Here is a 19,742-nt window from a genome sequence, read left to right as displayed (position 1 = left end):
CTCTTGGCTGCACACTGCACACTTGGATTCTGCAGACGCGCCCTGCAGGGACTCAGGAAGTATCCAAGGCATGGCCTCTCCTCCCTGCCATTAGGTCAGATGGAGTCCTGCAGGTCAATACAGAATCCAGCTCAACGAGCATTTAGTAATAACCCAAATTACTCCTCCCTTCCCTGTAACCCCAAATCCATTCAGCCTGCTGGCATCTTTCTCGGGGATTATAAGGTGGCATCCTCCCCGGCCTCCCTGCCTCCAGCCTCTGGATATCTGACAGAGATCCGACCACATTCAGCCCCCTGATTAAACTCTTCAAATCCTCCTCAACCCTACTGTCAATCTCAAGAGAAGGGATACCCCAGGATGAAGCCCCAGCCTCTTCATGTGGACCTCTCCATCAACATTTTCCCTTCCCAAGTCTCTCTGCACACAACCCCCCAGCATCACCAAGCTGCTTGCAGTTCCAGAAGGCTGAGCTCTCGCTTTTGCCCAAGGGCTCTGCACCTGCCACTTGCGCTGGCTGCTGCCTCTTCCGGGAAGCCTTCTCTGCCTCCCTCCCATACCATAGTCTGGACCAGGCTTCTCTCTGGGCTCTACTATTGCCATGCACTGCCCTAGGGACCAGCATCTGTTTATGAGTCTTGGTCCCCACCAGACTGTCTTTCATTTCATTCCGGTCTGTGTTTTCTGCTTTGAACACATAATTGTGTTTAAAAACTCCTGTGGAATCAGTGAATCCGCAGTGTAGCTGTTGTGTGCCGCTGCCTGTGTTAGGTGCAGGGAATGCAGGAGAAAAGAGCAAGCCCTGGTCTTGAGGAGGTCCAAAGAGAACGCCAGGTGCAAAGAGAATGGAATTCATTCCAGAGAGGCACAGACAACAGGGCTGGGCAGCTCAGAGCAAGGGAACACATTCACACAGAGCCGGGGAATCTGGGAAGGTGTTAGAGGATGGTGGTCTCTGTGCTAGGTTCAGAAGGTTCCAGAAAGTGGAGAAGAAGGAAGAGGAAGAAGGGGTTCCTCTGCCCCTCCAAGCCTGTTCTGATCCTCATTCCAACTTCATTTCAACTGACCTGTCTCCATGCCTGCTCCAGCCGTTATAATCCATCGATGGCACCCAGAGCACCCCAAGTTCCCTGTGCTGTTCCGAGGCTGGCATGACATTCCATCCCCTGGAGACAGCTTGGCTGTGTAGAGTGAGTGAAGACTCTCATCAAAGACGCTCTTGGGTGCAAATCCAGCTTTGCTACTTTCTAGCTCTGTGGCCTTAAGTAAGTTTCTTTACTTTCTGGATGCTCTGTGAAGTGGGGGCGTGATACGGTTTGGCTGTGTCCCTACCCAAATCTCACCTTGAATTGTAATAATCCCCATGTGTCAAGGGCATGGCCTGGTGGAGATCATTGAATCATGGGGGCTGTTCCACCCATACTGTTCTTGTGGCAGTGAATAAGTCTCAAGGGAGCTGATGGTTTTATAAATGGGAATTCCCCTGCACAAGGTCTTTTGCCTGCTGCCATGTAAGACATGACTTTGGTCCTCATTCATCTTCCACCATGATTGTGAGGCCTCCTCGGCCATGTGAAACTATGAGCTCATTAAACCTCCTTTCTTTATAAATTACCCAGTCTTGGGTGTGTCTTTATTAGCAGTCTGAGAACAGAGGGTGACATTATCACTCCGTCAAAAGAGTGGGTCTCCTGGGTTGACTAGTGAACCCCACAACATCCCTGTCCTCCTGGAACATCAGAATGTGAATTTATTTGGAAATAGGTCTTTGCAGTTGTAATTAGTTAAGAGGCAGTCATACTGGATGAGGGTGAGCCCTAAAGCCAATATGACTGGGGTCTTAATAAGAAGAGAAGGGACAGAGACACACAGGAAGATGTTGGCTGTGTGACCACAGAGGCAGAGCTTGGAGCAAGGCATCCACAAACCAAAGAACACCAAGATTTCTGGCAACCACCAGAAGCTGGAAGAGGCAGAAAGGATCCTCCTCTGGAGCCTTCAGAGAGAGTATGGCCCTGCCGACACCTTGATCTCAGATTTCCAGTCCCCAAACTTCAAAGGAATACATTTCTGTTGTTCTAAGCCACCCAGTCTATGATCATTTGTCATAGCACCCTAGGAAGCTAAGATAATAAGGGTCAAAGGGGGATTGTTTGTAAAATGGTCAGCACAGAGCCTGCACATGGTACCTGCATGAAACATGTTCGCTCTCCTCCCTTTTTAACTCAGTAGGAGGGTCTCCTTTCTCTTCCCTTTACCAAAAGCAGAGAACTGCTGTTTTGTGGAAGTGGGAATTCCAGTGGCTTCCCCTACTGACCTGTTTGCTCCAGCGTCTCTCACATCCAGTCACATCCTAAATTCCTATTATCCTAAATTCACTCATTCACTCTTTCACTCTCTGGGGACTTAGGAAACAGCCCACATGATCATTTCTTCATAAAACCACAGAATCTCCAGGTCACAGGGCTTACTGAGGCTGACTAGTCCAACCCTTTTCTGATTCCTGAATGTCCTCAAGTGTGGCAGCATCCAGCACACACACAGACACACACTCAGGGGGAAACTCCCCTTCAGCTTGTTCCATTGTAGGCTAAACCATATTTGTATGTTACATAAGCATATAATAGACAAACACCCACCCTGTCCATCCCTGCCCCATCCAAAGCCTCTGTGATGGTCAATGCTGAGTGTCAACTTGATTGGATTGTAGGATGCAAAGTATTAATCCTGGGTGAGTCTGTGAGGGTGTTGCCAAAGGAGATTAACATTTCAGTCAGTGGGCTGGGGAAGGCAGACCCACCCTTAATCTGGATGGGCACCATCTAATCAGCTGCCAGTAAATATAAAACAGGCAGAAAAACATGAAAAGGTTAGACTGGCCTAGACTCCCAGCCTACATCTTTCTCCCATGCTGGATGCTTCCTGCCCTCGAGCATAGGACTCCAAGTTCCTCTGTTTTGGAACTCAGACTGGCACTCCTGGCTCCTCAGCCTGCAGACAGCCAATTGTGGGACCTTGTGATCGTGTGAGTTAATGCTTAATAAATTCATATATATATATATATTCCATTAATTCTGTCCCTCTAGAGAACCCTGGCTAATACAGATTCCCATGGTTCTCGTCTCCCTTGGACTAGATTCCAGATTCTGAATTTGGCCCACAGGGCCCTGTAAGCACTGGCCCCTGACCACAGCTCCAGCCACACTGGCTCTCCCACTGCCTCTTTTCTCCACAGGGGCCTCTATGCTGCTCTTCCCTCTGCCTACTACCCCTGGCCCCACAAGTCTGGGCTTGTTCTTTCTTCACTCAGCTGTCGGTGTCAAATGCCCTTCCTCAAAAGCCCCTGGACACAGCCCTCACCCCCTTCCCTGTGGGCCACTTCTCTTTCCCCTTGTCTCAGCCCCATGAACTTGGTGTGCTTGTCTCTCTGCTTGGGGGTTGCTACCTGCTGCCCATTTGGAGTGAAGGCCTGTGAGGACCAGGATTCCAGTGTTGCCTTATTCACCCCAGATCCTCAGCGCCAGGGCTGCACTTCCCACTTAGTAGATATTCAATTAATATGTGTCGAATAAACGAATTGAATCGGCCCACTGCATTTTATGTCTTTCAAAGGATATTCACGTTTATTTTCTTGTTTAATTCTCACAGAGACTTCAGGAGGGAGATTATCCCAATTTTCTGGCAGAAGGAAACCAAAATTAAACTCAGAGTATGGAAGCAACTGGCTATTGTCCACCAAGATAATTCATTGCAGGGGAACGATGCCAACCCAGGCCTTCTGATCACCCCTCTGCACTGCTCTCCAGCCCTCAGCACACAGACTCAAATCTTAGCTCAGCCATAGGATCCCGGTGCATATGCTGAACCTTGTGGTCCCCAGTATGCCCAGCTGCAAGCCTGGCAATGGCCTTACCCTCTATGGGTCCCAGTGAAGTCACAGGACAACACCAGTAGGGATGACAATGTGAGCACCCACATGGCGCTAACTGTGCCTCAGGCACCCTCAAAGTATGTTGCAGATATACAGACTCGAGTACTTCCATTAATTCTATGAAGCAGGTCTTATTCCCATCTTGCAGATGAGAAAACTGAGGCACAGGGAGAGATTCACTAATATGCCTTGAAAGAACCAAGATACAGACTCCAGAGACCCGGCCCAGAGCCGTGTTCATGCCCCAGTCTGCTGACCACAGGCAAGAAGGTGTTAGACAAGACTGATCTTGTTGCATCCTTATGGTACTACAAAGTGGGAGCATGATCCCCATTTCACAGAGGCAGGAAACAGAGGCTTCTGGAGGTTTAGCTCAGGATGCTTACGTGGTAAATGCAGCGCCAAGAGTCCACCCAGGCTTGCGTGGCTCCAAAGCCAGTGCTGGGGAAGGCTGGGCTCTTCTGCCATCTGAAGCCTGGTGGGGGAGACAGGTGTGCATGACAGAGCGTGGCAGCCCTCCCCGGCCCAGGAGGGCTGGAGGGAGGAAGAAAGCTTCTTACTGGACTCTCAGGAGGGCAGATGTCACATGTTTGTGTCAGGCAGGGCCAGCGCCTTCCACAAAGATCTGCCCTTGCCCCACCCATCCCGGACCCTGGCTCTGAGACCTGCTGAGGCAGCCGGAACCACCTACTGCCCTAAGAGCAGATGCCCAGGTTGCAAACAGATCTGAGCCTCAGAACGCAGGGGGCAGGGACCGGATGAAGCCCCAAACAGATGCCAGGTTCAAAAGAAAATCGCAGGGAAACAGTGACAAAAGGGGAATTCAGCACAAAAGCATCCAAAATGACAGCAGAAAAACAGAGCCAGATGGGCCCGGCTTCCCCAACCCGCAAGCCTGCCACAGATCCACACAGCTCAAGCCGTGTGCTCCCGCGCCAGGGGATACACACCCCGTGTATCCCCTGCCCAGCAGACCGTATGGATCCCATTCCCTTTGCCTGGAATGCCCTCTCTATTTCAACCCCTCCTTCCCCCAGAGTCTTCAGCAAAGCCTCACATAATCTCCTGCTCCGGGAGTCCTTCTCTGGTCCCCCTGAGATGTCCCTCATCCCTCTAAAGCCATTCCTCTAGGTGTGTAATCCACATGCAGGCTTATCCTTTGATCTCATCCTTATGGGCACAGGACTTCACAGTTTGTAAGGCAATTCTTTCATATCCACTGCCTCAAGGGATCCCCATAGTAACCTGGTGAGACGGGCACTATTATTCCTATTGGACACTTGAGGCTCAGAGAGGGCAAGTGACTGGCCTGAGGTCACACAGCAAAGTCCAGCACTTTGGATAGCCTAGCAGAGGGCCTGGCACTGAGTGGGTGCTTAACGAGGAATGGGTGAGGGGGCCACTGACATTGATGCAGTTCTGAATGTTTTTTCTGGAATTATCTCCTTCTGGGTCCCTGGAGCCTCGCAGGGTCCCCCCACACTCTACCATCTCCCTGCAGGGAAGAGAAGAAGGAAGAGTGGGGCATGGAATCTGCCATGGTCCATTCCAGCGATGTGTCAGCCCCAGCAGGCCTGGCCCTGATGCCCCCCAGCTCCTCCACCCACCCGAGCCTTTTCCAGAGGACTTGGCTGCTGCCTTCCCAGGGTAACCCAGCTCTCCCCTCAATCACAGGCCAAGATCACCCGGTGATTAGGCCCAGCCGAGAAAGCACTGTGCCCTGGGGAGATGGCGTGATAGCTGGCCATGTTTTACAAGCTCACAAATCCCCGATAACAGCTGGCCAGTGGCTGGCTCCTGTGAGATAAAGAAGTGGCCAGCCTTCTGCCCGGGGCTTTCACTGAGCACCCTGCAGGGAAAGAAAGAGGGACCAGAGATGAAGTCTGAGGAGGAACCACTCACCCCCACTGTCCCCAGCACTGCCCAGCAGAGTTTACAATGACCCATAAGACAGGCTTATCGGCCCCACGTTGCAGATGAATAGAGGTGAAGAATCCCTTCTCTGTGACTTTCTCAGCTCCAGATGACCTGGCAGGGATTTTGGCAAATATTTATGAACACTTAGTGTGTGCCAGGAATCTTGTGCACACATCACACGCACACTGGCATGCTTGCCTCCAGACTACCTCTGGCTAGGTGTTCCATTCCCATTTCACAGATGGAATCGGAGGGGCAGAGGGACAACTATGCTTAGGAAACAGACCATGAGATAGACAGCTGTGTGCAGGAGATTGCGGTACTCTCAAGACAGCTTCTGCAGAAAAGTGGAGACCAGGCAAAGAGGGAGCTGGCTGTGGATCCACTGGGAGCTCTGAAGCTGAGACCAGCTTTCCCTGAATTGAGGGAAGAGGCAGGGCTTTGTGTCCTCATCCAGCAGCACAGATGGGGGCCACCTCTGGAGAGCATCACCTTGGGTCTGGCGGTGACCTTCAAGGGCAATTCCCAGACATGGATCAGCTGTGAGCAGGGTCTCTGTCCAGGAAGAGGGCTGAGGGTGGCCCACCAAGGGAGGAGTCCCCATCCCCCAGGCCATGGACTGGTACCGGCCCCCACTTCTCACCCCTGCAGCAGCCATACACTTCCCTAATACCACAAGCCTGGAGTGGCATTGGTTGGGCCAACCAAAGGGCAGTGGCTAAGGGTAAAGGCTCCAGGGCAGAGGAACCAAGTTCAAATCCGGTACCAGCCCATGGCCTGTTAGGAAACGGGCCACACATCAGTAAGCGAATGGCAGGCAAGCTTCATCTATGTTTACAGCCACTCCCCATTGTTCACATGACCACCTGAGCTCCACCTCCTGTCAGATCAGCAGCGGCATTCGATTCTCATAGGAGCACGGACCCTACTGTGAACTGCATCAGTGAGGGATCTAGGTTGTGAGCTCCTTATGAGAATCTAATGCCTGATGATCTGTCACTGTCTCCCAGCACCCCCAGTGGGGCCATCTAGTTGCAGGAAATCAAGCTCAGGGCTCCCACTGATTCTCCATCATGGTGAGTTGTATAATTATTACATTATATATTACAATGTAATAATAATAGAAATAAAGTGCACAAGAAATGCAATGTACTTTAATTATCCTGAAACCTTCGCCCCTGCCCTGGTCTGTGGAAAAATTCATCCTCCACGAAACTGGTTCCTGGTGCCAAAAAGGTTGGAGACGGCTGCACCATGGTGCCCAGCACAATGTCCAGCTCACATGATTACTAAGTGAGCTGGGAGGTGATGACACTAAGCCATCTCTCTGAATAAACTCATGATCCAAATTTAGTTTTCTGCTCCTTTCAGCAAGCGAGAGAGAGAACTACATAGCAAGAAGGGGATGTTTGCCCCAAAGTCGGGCGACATTGGCTTCAAGGTCTGGATCTGCTGGCACCCCGCTATGAGGCCTTGGGCCTGCTGCCACTGCCCATCTCTGGGCCTGAGCTTCCTGTTAAGTGTGGGGAAGGGCCTCCCTGGCCTTTCCCTGGGCTCTGACTCTGGGATTATCTGTTCTGTTCCTCACCCAGGGTGAGCCCAGGGGCAGTGCCAGCTCATCTCTGACTCTCACAAGGATCCTCACTCCTCACCCCTGCAGCAGCAGAGGGTTTGTGGGAGCCACACTGCCCTAGCACCGCAAGTCAGGAGTGGCATCGGCTGGGCCAACCAAAGGGCAGTGGCTAAGGGTAAAGGCTCAAGGGGCAGAGGGGCCAAGTTCAAATCCAGCTCTGACACGTCTGGCTATGAGTCCTTGATCAACTGACTTTGCTTCTCTGTGCCTCAATTTCCATGTGTATATGGGGACCATAATAATGTCACCTTCCTCTTGGGAGCTAGAGGAGCTAACACACATGAAGTGCTCTGCACAGTTCTGGGTACACAGGGAGCCTCATACACCAGCTGTCACCAGCACCAGGTTACCCAGTGAAGGAGTCTACACGCCCAGGTCTGTCCCCATCCCTTCCCTCACGCTGACAACCTTCAAGAAAGTCCAAGTTCCAAAATGTCACCGTTATTAATTTACCTCCTCTGCTTTCTCTTCCTCTCCATATATTTATATTTTACTTTGTGAGGATGTGGTGAGAGTTCCTAGTCTCAGCTAGCACCTCAGCCTTCCCTGCGGTGATCTAATCAAAGGCCATATTTTACTGGCATGCACTAACCCAAAGGCCATATTTTATGGGGGCGATCTAATCAGCAAACTGTATTTCCAAGGAGGAGATCTAAATTCATGGTTATATTTCATGGCTTGAGATCTAATCATGGGGCAATACTTCACAGCAGGGGATCTAATCCCAGAGGGATATTTCATGGCTGGGAGATCGGAGCAGTTCCACGTGACTTTTTCCTCTTCTTCTTTTTCGAAAATTTATTTTTGTTTCAGAAAAAGTCAAAATATCCTAGCAAGCCACAACTTTGCTACCAGTTAGGTCACTGCTAAGAAAAGATAGAGTCTTTGCTGAATAGTGTCTTATCCAGCCTCCCCTGTTGTCACAAAGACCTCTTGAGGCATACGTGGATTCACAGGGTTCCTCCAAAATCTAGGGGGGACCTCCAGATTCAATGTTCAAGCAGGACTATAATTTTTTTCATGTATTCACTTGTTTGTTCATTCATTCATTCATTTATCCATTTGTTCATTCATTTAACAAACATTCTGAGTGTCCGCTTACTACCAAGGACTGTGCTCAGAATCAGTGGTCCAGAGAGGAACATAACTGCCTGTTACGTACTCAATGTTTATGTCTCCCCCACCCCCCCAGAAAAAATTCATATGTTGAAGCCCTAGCCCTAATCCCTAATGTGACAGTATTTGGAGGTAGGATTTCTGGGAGGTAATTAGGTTTAGATGGGTCTTGAGGGTGGTGCCTGATATGGTTTGGCTGTGTCCCCACCTAAATCTCATCTTGAATTGTAGCTCCCATAATTCCTATGTGTTGTGGGAGGGTCCCAGTGGGAGATAATTGGATCGCAGGAGTGGTTTCCCCCATACTGTTCTCATTGTAGTGATTAAGTCTCGTGAAATTTGACGGTTTTATAAGGGGAAACTCCTTTTGCTTGGCTCTCTGATTCTTTGCTGCTGTCGCCATGTAAGAAGTACCTTTCACCTTCCACCATGATTATGAGGCCTCCCCAGCCACGTAGAACTACAAATCTATTATACCTCTTTTACTTTATAAATTACCCAGTCTTGAGTATGTCTTTATCAGCAGAGTGAAAACGGACTAATACAGGCCCTTATGATGGGATTAGTGTCTTTGTGACAAGAGGAAGAGAGAGAGATCAGAGTGTGCTCACTCGCTCTTTCTCTCTCTCTCTCTCTCTCTCTGTATCTCTCTCTCTGCCATATTCAGAAACAGTGTGTAGGCAGCCATCTGCAAGCCAAGAAGAGAGCCCTCCCCAAGAACCAAATCTTCCGCCATCTGATCTTGGACTTCCTAGTCCCCAGAACTGTGAGAAAAAAAAAAATAATCTATAGTTGAAGCCACGCAGTTTACAGTATTTTGTTATAGCAGCCCGAGCTTGCCTTTATGGTACCACTCCCCCAGGAGAGGTTAAAACGATGGTCACAGGAGGGATGATGGTTACAAAAATAAGTGTGTTGAAGAAAGACAGAGGATGCTATGAGAGCATAGATCCCAGACACAGCCAGGAAGGCCTCCATCAGTGAGCAAGGCAACGGGAACCTGAAGAATGAGCAGAAGTTACCCCAGGGAAGTTAGGTGAGGGCAGGGAGATCATGAGAGGAGGGAAGAGAATTCCAGGGGGCAGGAAAGGCATATGCAAAGCCACTGAAGTTGGACTGAACCCCCTCTGCAAAATAAGGTAAAAACAGGTCCTTCTTTATAGGATTTTGAACATTTTTCTTAAAAAAGGGAAGCCAACAAAGAATTGGGGGACGATCAGATGAGTGTTTTTTAAATACTCTGCAAGCTGCTACTTGGAGAGTGGATTCTAAAAGGACAAGAAAGGAGGTAAGAGATGCAGTTAGATGTCATTGTAGACATTCAGGGGAGAGCCACTGGGCTCTCCAGCCAGGGAAACAGATTGGGTCACTCCAAGTGCTATTCTGGAGGGATCTTTCTAGGCCTTGGTGACTGACTAGCCACGGAGGGTGAAGAAGGAGGTATGAGGAGTGATTTCCAGGTGCCCGGCTTTGAGACAGATGGTATCCATCTTCTTCTTCAATTGCTTTAGAGGAGGGAGGAAGAGCAGGAGACAGAGAGATTGAGATTCAACAATCCATTTCCCAATCATCCAGCAACTCACTGTTGGGGGCAAGATTTACAATTTCCCTGTCCCTTTGTGCTCAACCCCCTAAGAGCTTTGCCCTCCCCAAGCCAATTTTGAGCAAATCAGTCTCCCAGGTGGAAAGTGGAAAACTACGAGATATTCCAACACAGCAAGTGTCTGGGGGACAGGGAATACAGGCTTCTGGGGAGCTTCAAAGTTCTCATTTAAATAGCCCAGCTCATCACTCACCTCACTGCCACTCACACTTATGTTGCCATCCCCCTAATAATCCCTCAAAATGCATAACGCTTTGGCATTTGGCTAGGCACTTTCCACCACTTTATTTCACCAGATTCTCACCCAGCTCCTGGGAGACAAGGACCAGTGCACCTATTTTATAGAAACTGAGGCTCAGAGAGGGGCAATGACTTGCCCAGCTGCAGGGATACAGTGAAATGGCAACAACAGTAGCAACAAACACATGACCAGCTCTCCTGTGCTGGGTACTCTCAGAGGCACTTTCAACATTTTGATTTATTCATCCTTACAGCAACCCTATGACATAGGTGCTATTATTATCATCCCTGTTTTTCCAAGATGGGGAAACTGAGGCACGGAGAGGTAAAGTTGCTTGCCTAAGGTCAGAGAGTAAGAGGCAGAGCTGGGATTCTGAGCCAGGAAGTCTCACTCCAAAATCTATCTTTAACACCAGGCTCTCACAATTAGGAAGAAGAAATTCAACTCAGATCTGCCCAGTGTAACAATACCCCAGCTGTCTATAGGCTGCACAACCTGCAGCTTAAATGCCCGAGCAATGCCTGAGTGATGCCATTAGGAATTACAAATTCATGTGGATCCTGCTGCCTGGCGGAACTCTGGGAGGGAATATGTTTTGTTCCAGTGTTTCTCCTCAACCATTAACTTTAATACTTGGAAACCACTTGAAGATCAGTCAGAAGGATATTTCCTAGAAGGTAATAGAAACAAGCAGCCAGCTTCCAAACCCACAACCCAGAGACTAAGAGAAGGACAAGCTGTTCGTGTATCTGACATTCCATTAGTCCCTAGATAGGTCTGTGGATCCCACTCATTGTCCCACTATGCGGGGATCCCTTGCACCCTTTCTGCCAGGCTGAGCCAGAGTGTTGGACCTACATTAAGAGAGGGGTTCTAATCCCATCTCTATAACTTGGGCAGCTCACCTCACCTCTCTGAATGACTCTCTCCATCTGCCATGCATGAGTAATTATGACTTACAACAACCAACATTCATCAAGACCAAATACTATTGTGCCAAATACTACTTGAAGCTGTCCCTTGTATTCTTCCAACAACTCTATGATACAGGTACTCTTATGAACCCATTTTCCAGGTGAGAAAACAGTTAAGTTACACATGCCCAAGGTCACACAGCTCAGAAGTGTCTGGACTGGGATTTGAACTCACGGTCTTACTATTGTCTCATCTCACCTCTCAGGGAGATCGTGAGGATTTGACATGCCAAGTACAAAGACAGGGCACACATTCCATATAAGGGATAACTGGTGGCCAGTGGGTCACAAGAGGAGCTGGGGGAGGGAGGGTGCACGTCATCAACCACCCATTCCTACTTCAGGAAACACACAGGTAAAGAGGCAGGATACCCACAAAAGCTTGGGTTGTTTTGTTGGTATGAGTTCCTGATACCCACAATCTTCTTATCTCTGGGGCAGCTTGGTGCACCCTCCCCAAAGGGCAAGAAACCTGTCAGCATGACAGGCTGTCACCAGGCTGCAGCCCGTGTGCGGTGGGAGTCCAGACAAGCGTCTCATTTGAATCTCATTCGAGGAAAATGATTAAAGGTTCAGAGGGATTAATTTACGAGGAAAGATTAAAGGAACGAAATCTGTGTAGCTTGGCTTAACCAGGACCGAGACTGGGGACCCCAGGGACGTTTCCAAATATTTGAAGAGAGTGGAGGCCCTGGGGAGGGGGAGAAGGGAGGGTGGTTTGGCCCAGCAGAAAGAAAGGAGGATGCGGGGAACCAGAAAGGATAACAAAGAGGAAATTGGAATATCTCTCATCATCTTTGAAATCATGGTGGACATAAGTGCTCACTCTGTGAGAAGCCCAAGGCTAGAAGGCTGGATGGAGATTATGTCATTGAATGGGCTATGTTTGATATCTGCTTTTTTGGTGGGGAAATTGAGGCACAGAGAGGGGAAGTTACTTTCCTGAAGTCACATGGCTGATGAATATCAAAATGTGAACCCAGACTCCAGAACCTATTCTCTTGACACTATCCTGTGTTACCTTGTGAATGCTTGAACTGGTGTTCGGCAAATACCCACTCCCTTCTCCCCTTCTCTGTGGGCAGAACCTACTTCTTCATCCCATCACTGTGGGGTTTTGTCATGTTACTTGCTTTAGCCAATGGGATGTTCGGTTGAGCAATGGCTTGGAATAGGCTTGCCCAGTGGGACCCTCCCTTCTGCATTTCTGCCCCCTTCACAAGAAGAGCTTCCCCCCGCACCACCCGCCACCCGAGGGAGCTGCTGCTCCCTCAGCTGGGACCTCAGAATGAACTACACAGTTCAACCCACCATCTGGAGCCAAGCCCAGCTGGACCAGCAGCTTAAATGGCCCAGCTGAGCCCAACTCACGCAAGCTGACCTCCACCCACCATAAATCTGTGGTAGGAGAATAAATGGTTATATTTAAGCCACTGAGTTTTGGGCTGGCTGTTACACAGCGATGGCTGTTACGTATCTCATGATGTCAAATGCTGCTCAAGGCTATCCATGACCTGGGCTTGTGCCAGCTTTCCAGGCTCACCTCTGACCTCCTCCTCATGGGTACCAGATGCACAAGGTTATCATTGTTCCTGGAATATTATTTCAGCTGCCATATATCCTATCTACTTGCATTCATTGTTACCAGCTACCTTGAGGTTTAATTTACATAAAATAAAATTCACCCATTCACAGACATGGTCCAGTTCTCATGCAGTTTACAACTTAATGGAAAGGAAGAGCCCCCAAACCTCAGAGCTAGATGGTGCCTCAAAATTTGTGGAATGAACCTGTTTTATTTTATTATATTCTATAAAACGGACATTCTTCAGCCAGCCAGCAGGTTCAGACATGCAGGGCAAGGTAAGATCGTGCCTCCGCCAGGGGAATTACCTGGCTGCCTGTCTCAGGGGCTTCTGAGGCTGCTTTTAGAACAGCACATAGGGTTCAGGTCACTCTATTAGAAAAAGGATATTACAGAGGCGAGGGCAGCCAGGCCCAGGAGGGGGCAGGGTGGCTTCCTGTAATGCCTGGGCAGCCAGTTTGCAGCGGGTGAAGGAGGGTGATGTCGCGTCTGCTGGATAAGGAGAGTGATGATGCTGTGTCACCAGGCCTCGTGTGATTCATCAGGGGAACGAGAGATGAGGGCAGCGGGGCCTGGAGCATGGGTCAAGTGGACAGACACAGACATGGAATCTACAGGCAATTTCACCAGGTGGAGAGGCTTCGGACCCCATTAGGCACCTTGGCTCTGTTCCCACCCCTATACGGATGACCCCCCTCGAGGGGTGGGAAGTGCTCAGAGGGCAGCATGCTAGAGCAATGAAAGGACAGAACTCAGGAAAGAGTTTCATGTTTCATTCATTCATTCATCCATGCATGCATTCATTCATTCAACAGTGGTGACAGAGACAGTCTCTGCTCTCACAATGAGTCACTTAATGACAGCTCTGGTCACTGCCAGGAGGGAAAAGAACCAGTGCTGGGACAGCTGCTAAGAGTTGTGACATATGCCACAGGTTCAGGAAAAGAAGAAACAAGTTACCCTCAAAAGACACTTTCTGGGGGTCGGGTGCAGTGGCTAATGCCTGTAATCCTAGCACTTTGGGAGGCCGAGGTGAGCGGATCACCTGAGGTTAGGAGTTCAAGACCAGTCTGACCAACATGGCAAAACCCTGTCTCTACTAAAAATACAAAAAAATTAGCCGGATGTGGTGGCATGCACCTGTAATCCCAGCTACTGGGGAGGCTGAGGTGGAAGCATCACTTGAACCTAGGAAGTGGAGGTTGTAGTGAGCCGAGATCACGCCACTGCACTCCAGCCTGTGCAACAGAGTGAGACCTTGTCTAAAAAAAAAAAAAAAAAAAAAAGACACCTTTCAGAAGTGGTGGCAAGACTTTCCACTTTGTGGTGGAAGGAAAGGAAGGAAAGCTTGGTCTGCTGGACACTCAGGACTTGTCCCGATAAATAAAGGTTTCAGATCCCATTTAAAGGCTAACAAATGGGGGTGCCTGGCATAGGGCAGTCACCCAGAGTTCTGAATCTGAGTACAGCTCTGGAAATTCCTAGCTGGACAACTCTGGGCAAGTTGCTTAATTTCTCTGAACTGCTTTCCTCATTTTATAGCAGAGCTCATCAGACACAAAATGAACACAGCCCGCCGTCCCTCTCAGTGTCTTATCTAGTGATGGCAGTGGTGTCAAGATGGGAACGTGTGCTTACTGAAGGCCCTCACACTGACCCAAATGCTGCCTGGGCCAAGGGACCCTGGCTTTGGGTGGCCCAAAGATGCTGCCAAGCCAGATGTGCTTCTGGGAGCTGGGAGAAGAGTCACTATATTCAGAAGGCCTCCCCTGTTCCCATCTTCTGCAAATCCTTGGAGGACAAATTCAAAAAAGACAGAGCTGACATTCTGCCTAGCCAAGATAGGATGGGTGTCTTTCCAGGGCATGGCTAGGCAGAGTGGGCATCCATGTCAGGAGCAGGAAGGGGAAGGAGGAGCTGGGACCTGACCACAGGTCACTGGCTGGTGCCCTGCTCCCTGCCAGAAGCATGTATTATCTCATTTAATCCCCAGCACAATCTAAAGGTCCTTATTATTATCATCACACACAGCGTTTGGGCTGCTCAAGCTGGAAAATTCTGGGCCAAAACAGCGTTTGGGTCAGTGTGCATGGTCCTGTAATTAAACGCACCCTGTCACATCAATGTCGCAGCCATAATTAGACAAGAAGCCGAGCAGGGCAGTGGCTTATGTCTATTTGGAGTTCGGCAGAGCTATGTGCTCACAGCTACGTGTAGGATGGGGCTTCGGAGATATGAGGCAGGTGTTAAATGATGCCAGAACACATCCGCCGCACGACCGAGGATCCACCACCACCTGCAGGCATCAGGCCCTGAGCCGGGGACTAGGAGGAGGGGAGGCAGCAAGGAGGAGGGCTCATTCCCTTCCCTGGTGGGAAGCCTGGATGCAGAAGAAGGGAGCACTCAGCCCTGCCCGATGCAGGGATCACAGACTGTGGCCCAGTTCCCTCCTTTACAGAGGGGGAGACTGAGGCCCAGGGGAAAACAGATCTGCTTAGGTTCTGCAGGGCAGGCACTTAAACCAGTGTCCCCAACTCCAATGTCTTTCTTCTTGATTTCAAATCCCTGATCCGCCTCTTACCACAATACCATGTGATATCAAACGAGTTATCTAACTTCATGTTGCCTCAGTTTCTGCATCTGTGAAGTGGGGATAATACTGCAGAACTCATCAAGGTTGTATAAGCCTTAAATGAGTTAATATATGTAAAATGCATAGAACAGTGCCAGGTGCATATTAAATTCTGTATAAGTAAGTATGAGCTATAGTGTGACATCCACAGTTTCCAACAAAGAGCCTAGAAGGCTCTGGTGCAGACAGAAACTGAAATGCTGAACCTGGAGTAGGAAGGGAAATCATCAGCCCCCTTATTCCCTCATCCTTCCATAACTGCGCCTTCCAAACCACTTTTTTGCTCAAACCTTGGACCTGTCTACACTTTGTTTTATCCAGGGAAGCTATTGATCTACCTTAACTGTATGACTGTGGGGCATGCTTGTTTGTATGTCCAGGCCTCAGTCTCTGCAATGGTGGAAGAAGGCCAATACCTCCTCACTGAAGGCTGAGGGCTCAGCAACCCAAAGCGCTAGGCACAAAGATGGTTGTAACTGCCATGTATGTGCCAGACATGTTTCATTCATTCATTCATTCAGGGTTTTTTGAGCACCCTGCATGGCAGGCACTATTCTAGATGCTAAGTGCACAAAGAAGAATGAAACAAAGTCCCTACAACCTGGTAAACATCTACACCTCGCCACATGCAGCGTATATTCTATTATACCCTATGTTTCCATGTGTCACGCAGTGGAATATAAGGAAGCAGGAAGTGCTATGGAGAAAATTAAGGAGGGGAAAAGAACAGTGGATAAAGGGAGTAGAGGGGCTATTTCGATCCAAAAGCCAGGAAGAACCTCACTAGGATGGTGACCCAAGAAGAAGGGAGAGCGAGTCACTCAAATACCAGGAAAGAGGATGCCAGGCCAGGAGAGCTAAGGCGAAGGCCCTGAGCCTGGAATGTGCTTGGCAGTTTCTTTTCCTTTTGCTTGGAGGCTTTTGAAGAATGCCAAGGGGGTCAGGACAGTCAAAGCAGAGTGTGCTATTCATTCATACTCATTATTATTACTTTTGTTATTCATAGAAATTGATGATTCTTACTTAATTTCAATCTGTGATCTGGACCTAAAGGATGGGATCTGAGTTTCCAGATCCTCACATCCCTTGGGTGGCTCTGCCATCCCCTGGAGACCCTCACCCCCAAGCCGACCCCTCCTCACCAGTTCCTGCTTCCCTGGCTCAAGCATCCGTCACCCCGACCCCAGCCAGAGAGTTGCCGCCTCCATCAGGCCCAGTAGGGACCGTGCCCAGGGCCCAAAATATGTTTTCATTTTGATTCCTTTTAAAATCAGGGAAAAAAATGAATAAAATAATAATGAATATAGAATTACAAATCCAGCCTGGATTACATCTTTGGAATACATCTTTATTCCAATGTGGTCATAAAATAAACATTTTACCATTTTTACATGGAGGCAGGGGCCCACGGAGGTAACAGTGCTGGACCCATGAAAGTCACAATGGGGCCAGGCTGGGCTGGGACAGTGGCCCCTCTCTGAGGGATGGGGGTGGGAGTCTGCTCCATGCTTTGGGCAGCTCTCAGGTGGAGTCTCTCTCCCTCTAAGACCGCAGCCTGGGAAGGTTGGAGCTCAAACGAGCACCTGTTGAGTTGCCGTGAGCTGCTTGGATGTTGCCTCTGCCACCTGCCAGCCTCCCTGATGGACAGAGTCCCCTCTCGGCTTGGACAGGAACGAGGTGACCAATGGTCGGTGGCTCCGTAGTCCCACCCCACAGCTGGCTTCTCTGAGCCCTGCACAGTGGCATCTCCAGGACACCTGCTGCCTCCATCTATTGGTGAGTCCCCCACCCTTCCTCTTAAATCTAGGGAAGTGGTGATTTAATATTAATATTTATTCATGAACTCAATTCTTTCCCTGTTAAATAATTTCTCAGCTGTCGGAGGCTTCTGAAGGCTAATTTAAAACAGGTGTCACGGTTATCTAACTTATGCCCTTAGATTCTCAAAGAGAGGAAGGGCGGAGAATAAGCATCCCTGCGCTCGCTCCCCGAACTGCTGCCTGCCTGGGGGTCTGGAAAACAGGCACAGACCCGTCCTCTGGGAGGCCAGACCCTGGGGTGGGGTAGGGGGAAGGGGAAGGGGGGATGACATCACTTGCTGGCCGGAGAAGCCGACCCCAGGGCTTAACTCTTAAAAGGAAGGAGAAGCTGGCAGGAAGGGGCACTGGGAGAAAGAGGGAGGGACAAGATTTTTAACTGAACAATCTATGCTCGTAGAATAATAACAATAGAATAATAGCTAACACTTATACAGGATTTAATATGCACCTGGCACTGTTCTATGCATTTTATGTACATTAACTCATTTAAGGCTTATACAACCCTAATAGTTCTGCAGTATTATCCCCACTTCACAGATGCAGAAACTGAGGCAACATGAAGTTAGATAACTCGTTCAATATCACATGGTTATTATGGTAAGAGGTGGATCAGGGATTTCAACTCAGGAAGAAAGACATTCGGCTGAAACCCGAGTCTCCCTTTCGGTGGCCAAGGGACCTCTTTATGGTTTCACTTCCTCTTCTGTAAATGGAGAACATACAGCTTAATTGTAAAGAATAATTAAGGGGATAACGAGAATATCTGATTGGGCAAGACCTGGCTGTATGCATTTTGGGGCTGGCCTGCGGCAGGTCAACAGGACACGATGGAGGGAATGACGCTGTTGTCACAGTGTCTGACACTCCCTTTCTCTCTTTTCCAGCCTGCTCCCTCTTTCTCTCTCTCTCTCCCCACTTCCCCGCCTTCCTTTCTTCTTTTTCCTGACAACCTCACACTTCAAGGTTATATCTGTTACAGCTGATTGAAATCTATGTGATGGCTTAAGCACTGGCCAATGAGAGCTAGAAAAAAAGTAAGAAACTCGCCCCATCGTGCCCACCTTTGCATCCCACCCCTGCCCCTTCAGATAAACTCACCAATCTCAGCGCCTCTTCATCCACCCCCTAGGAGATCCAAATTCATCATCTTCTCCACTCACTGAGAAGCTTGTTTGCCATAGGATATATTTTGAAGACAACGGGCATACCGAATATGACTTTTTAACATATATGTGCCACCTCCTCGATCCAATCACCCAAACACACCCACTCCCCCTTCCACAGGGTCGTTGCTCTAAATGGGGAATTCCTTGTTCAAGTGGAGAGAGGGGATGAGACATTTGATCATTCCCCAGGCACTATGCAAACCCATGCAAATTAAGGAAATGCACACCACATCAGTAAGTGTGTTTGTGAATAAGAAATAAGAGATGAAGAGACAGGACAAGGCAATAATCAACTGCAGAAAAAAAAATCATCAGAGAGAACCTGAGACTGGATAATGGCCTGTGTTTATGTTTTATGTGCACATGAATATAGATAGGTTTATGCATATGTACCAAGAACCATGTACACACACACACACACACACACACACACACACACACACACACACCTCACTGACCCCATCCCCACACACGACCACAGTCCTTCTCAGCCATCTCTGGGTACATGCTCAGGGCTCTGCATGGACTTTTCGGGGCAAAGGAAAAACCTTGGACCCTGGACCACCTGCCCTGTTGTCTGAGTCCTTCAGAAAGTGCCCATTATTGGATTATTACTGACTCTGGATTCTCTAGGCCACCAGAGTCTATGCAATCTTTAGCTTATGGAAGGATCTGTCTGTAAAGTTCACTTCTAAGTCAGCTTCTTGGATCAAGCAATATATCTTCCCAGATAAACAGTGTCAGTGGATACAATAAAGTCATGGTTAAAAGCACAGACTGGGAGGATGGCAAACTTTAGCCTGGAATTAAACCACTCTGTGTCCTCATCTGTTAAAGGGGGAAATAAAAATACTCACCAACCTCAAATACATCCAGAAAAATTATAGGAAGCGCTGTATGTCAAGTGCCCAGCAAATAGGAGCTCAATAAGCAGTGGGCAAGGCTACTAATAGCACTGCTAAAGTCACAGCTGGCCTGTTGTCCTTAAAGCCCCAGGGTAGCCCCCAAAGCCCCCTAATCCCCAAGGGAGCTGACAACGTTTTATTTACATTTGTGGTTACCAATGACTTGTAACATTGTTTCCTTGGGGAATTGCTCTGTATTCTAAATTCTCTGTGGAGACC

General features: G+C 49.0%; 1 protein-coding gene across 2 annotated transcripts in view; it reads right to left on the bottom strand.

Moving 5' to 3' along the window:
* The window catches only part of IGSF21 (immunoglobin superfamily member 21), a 270,686-nt gene that overhangs the window by 182,024 nt on the left and 68,920 nt on the right, over window positions 1-19,742 (bottom strand). The window lies entirely within an intron of this gene.

Source organism: Homo sapiens, chromosome 1 (assembly GCF_000001405.40).
Source record: "Homo sapiens chromosome 1, GRCh38.p14 Primary Assembly".
In the NCBI taxonomy this organism is placed as follows: Eukaryota; Metazoa; Chordata; class Mammalia; order Primates; family Hominidae; genus Homo; species Homo sapiens.
Note: the sequence above shows the minus strand (reverse complement) of the source record. Positions and strands in the feature narration are given on the sequence as shown.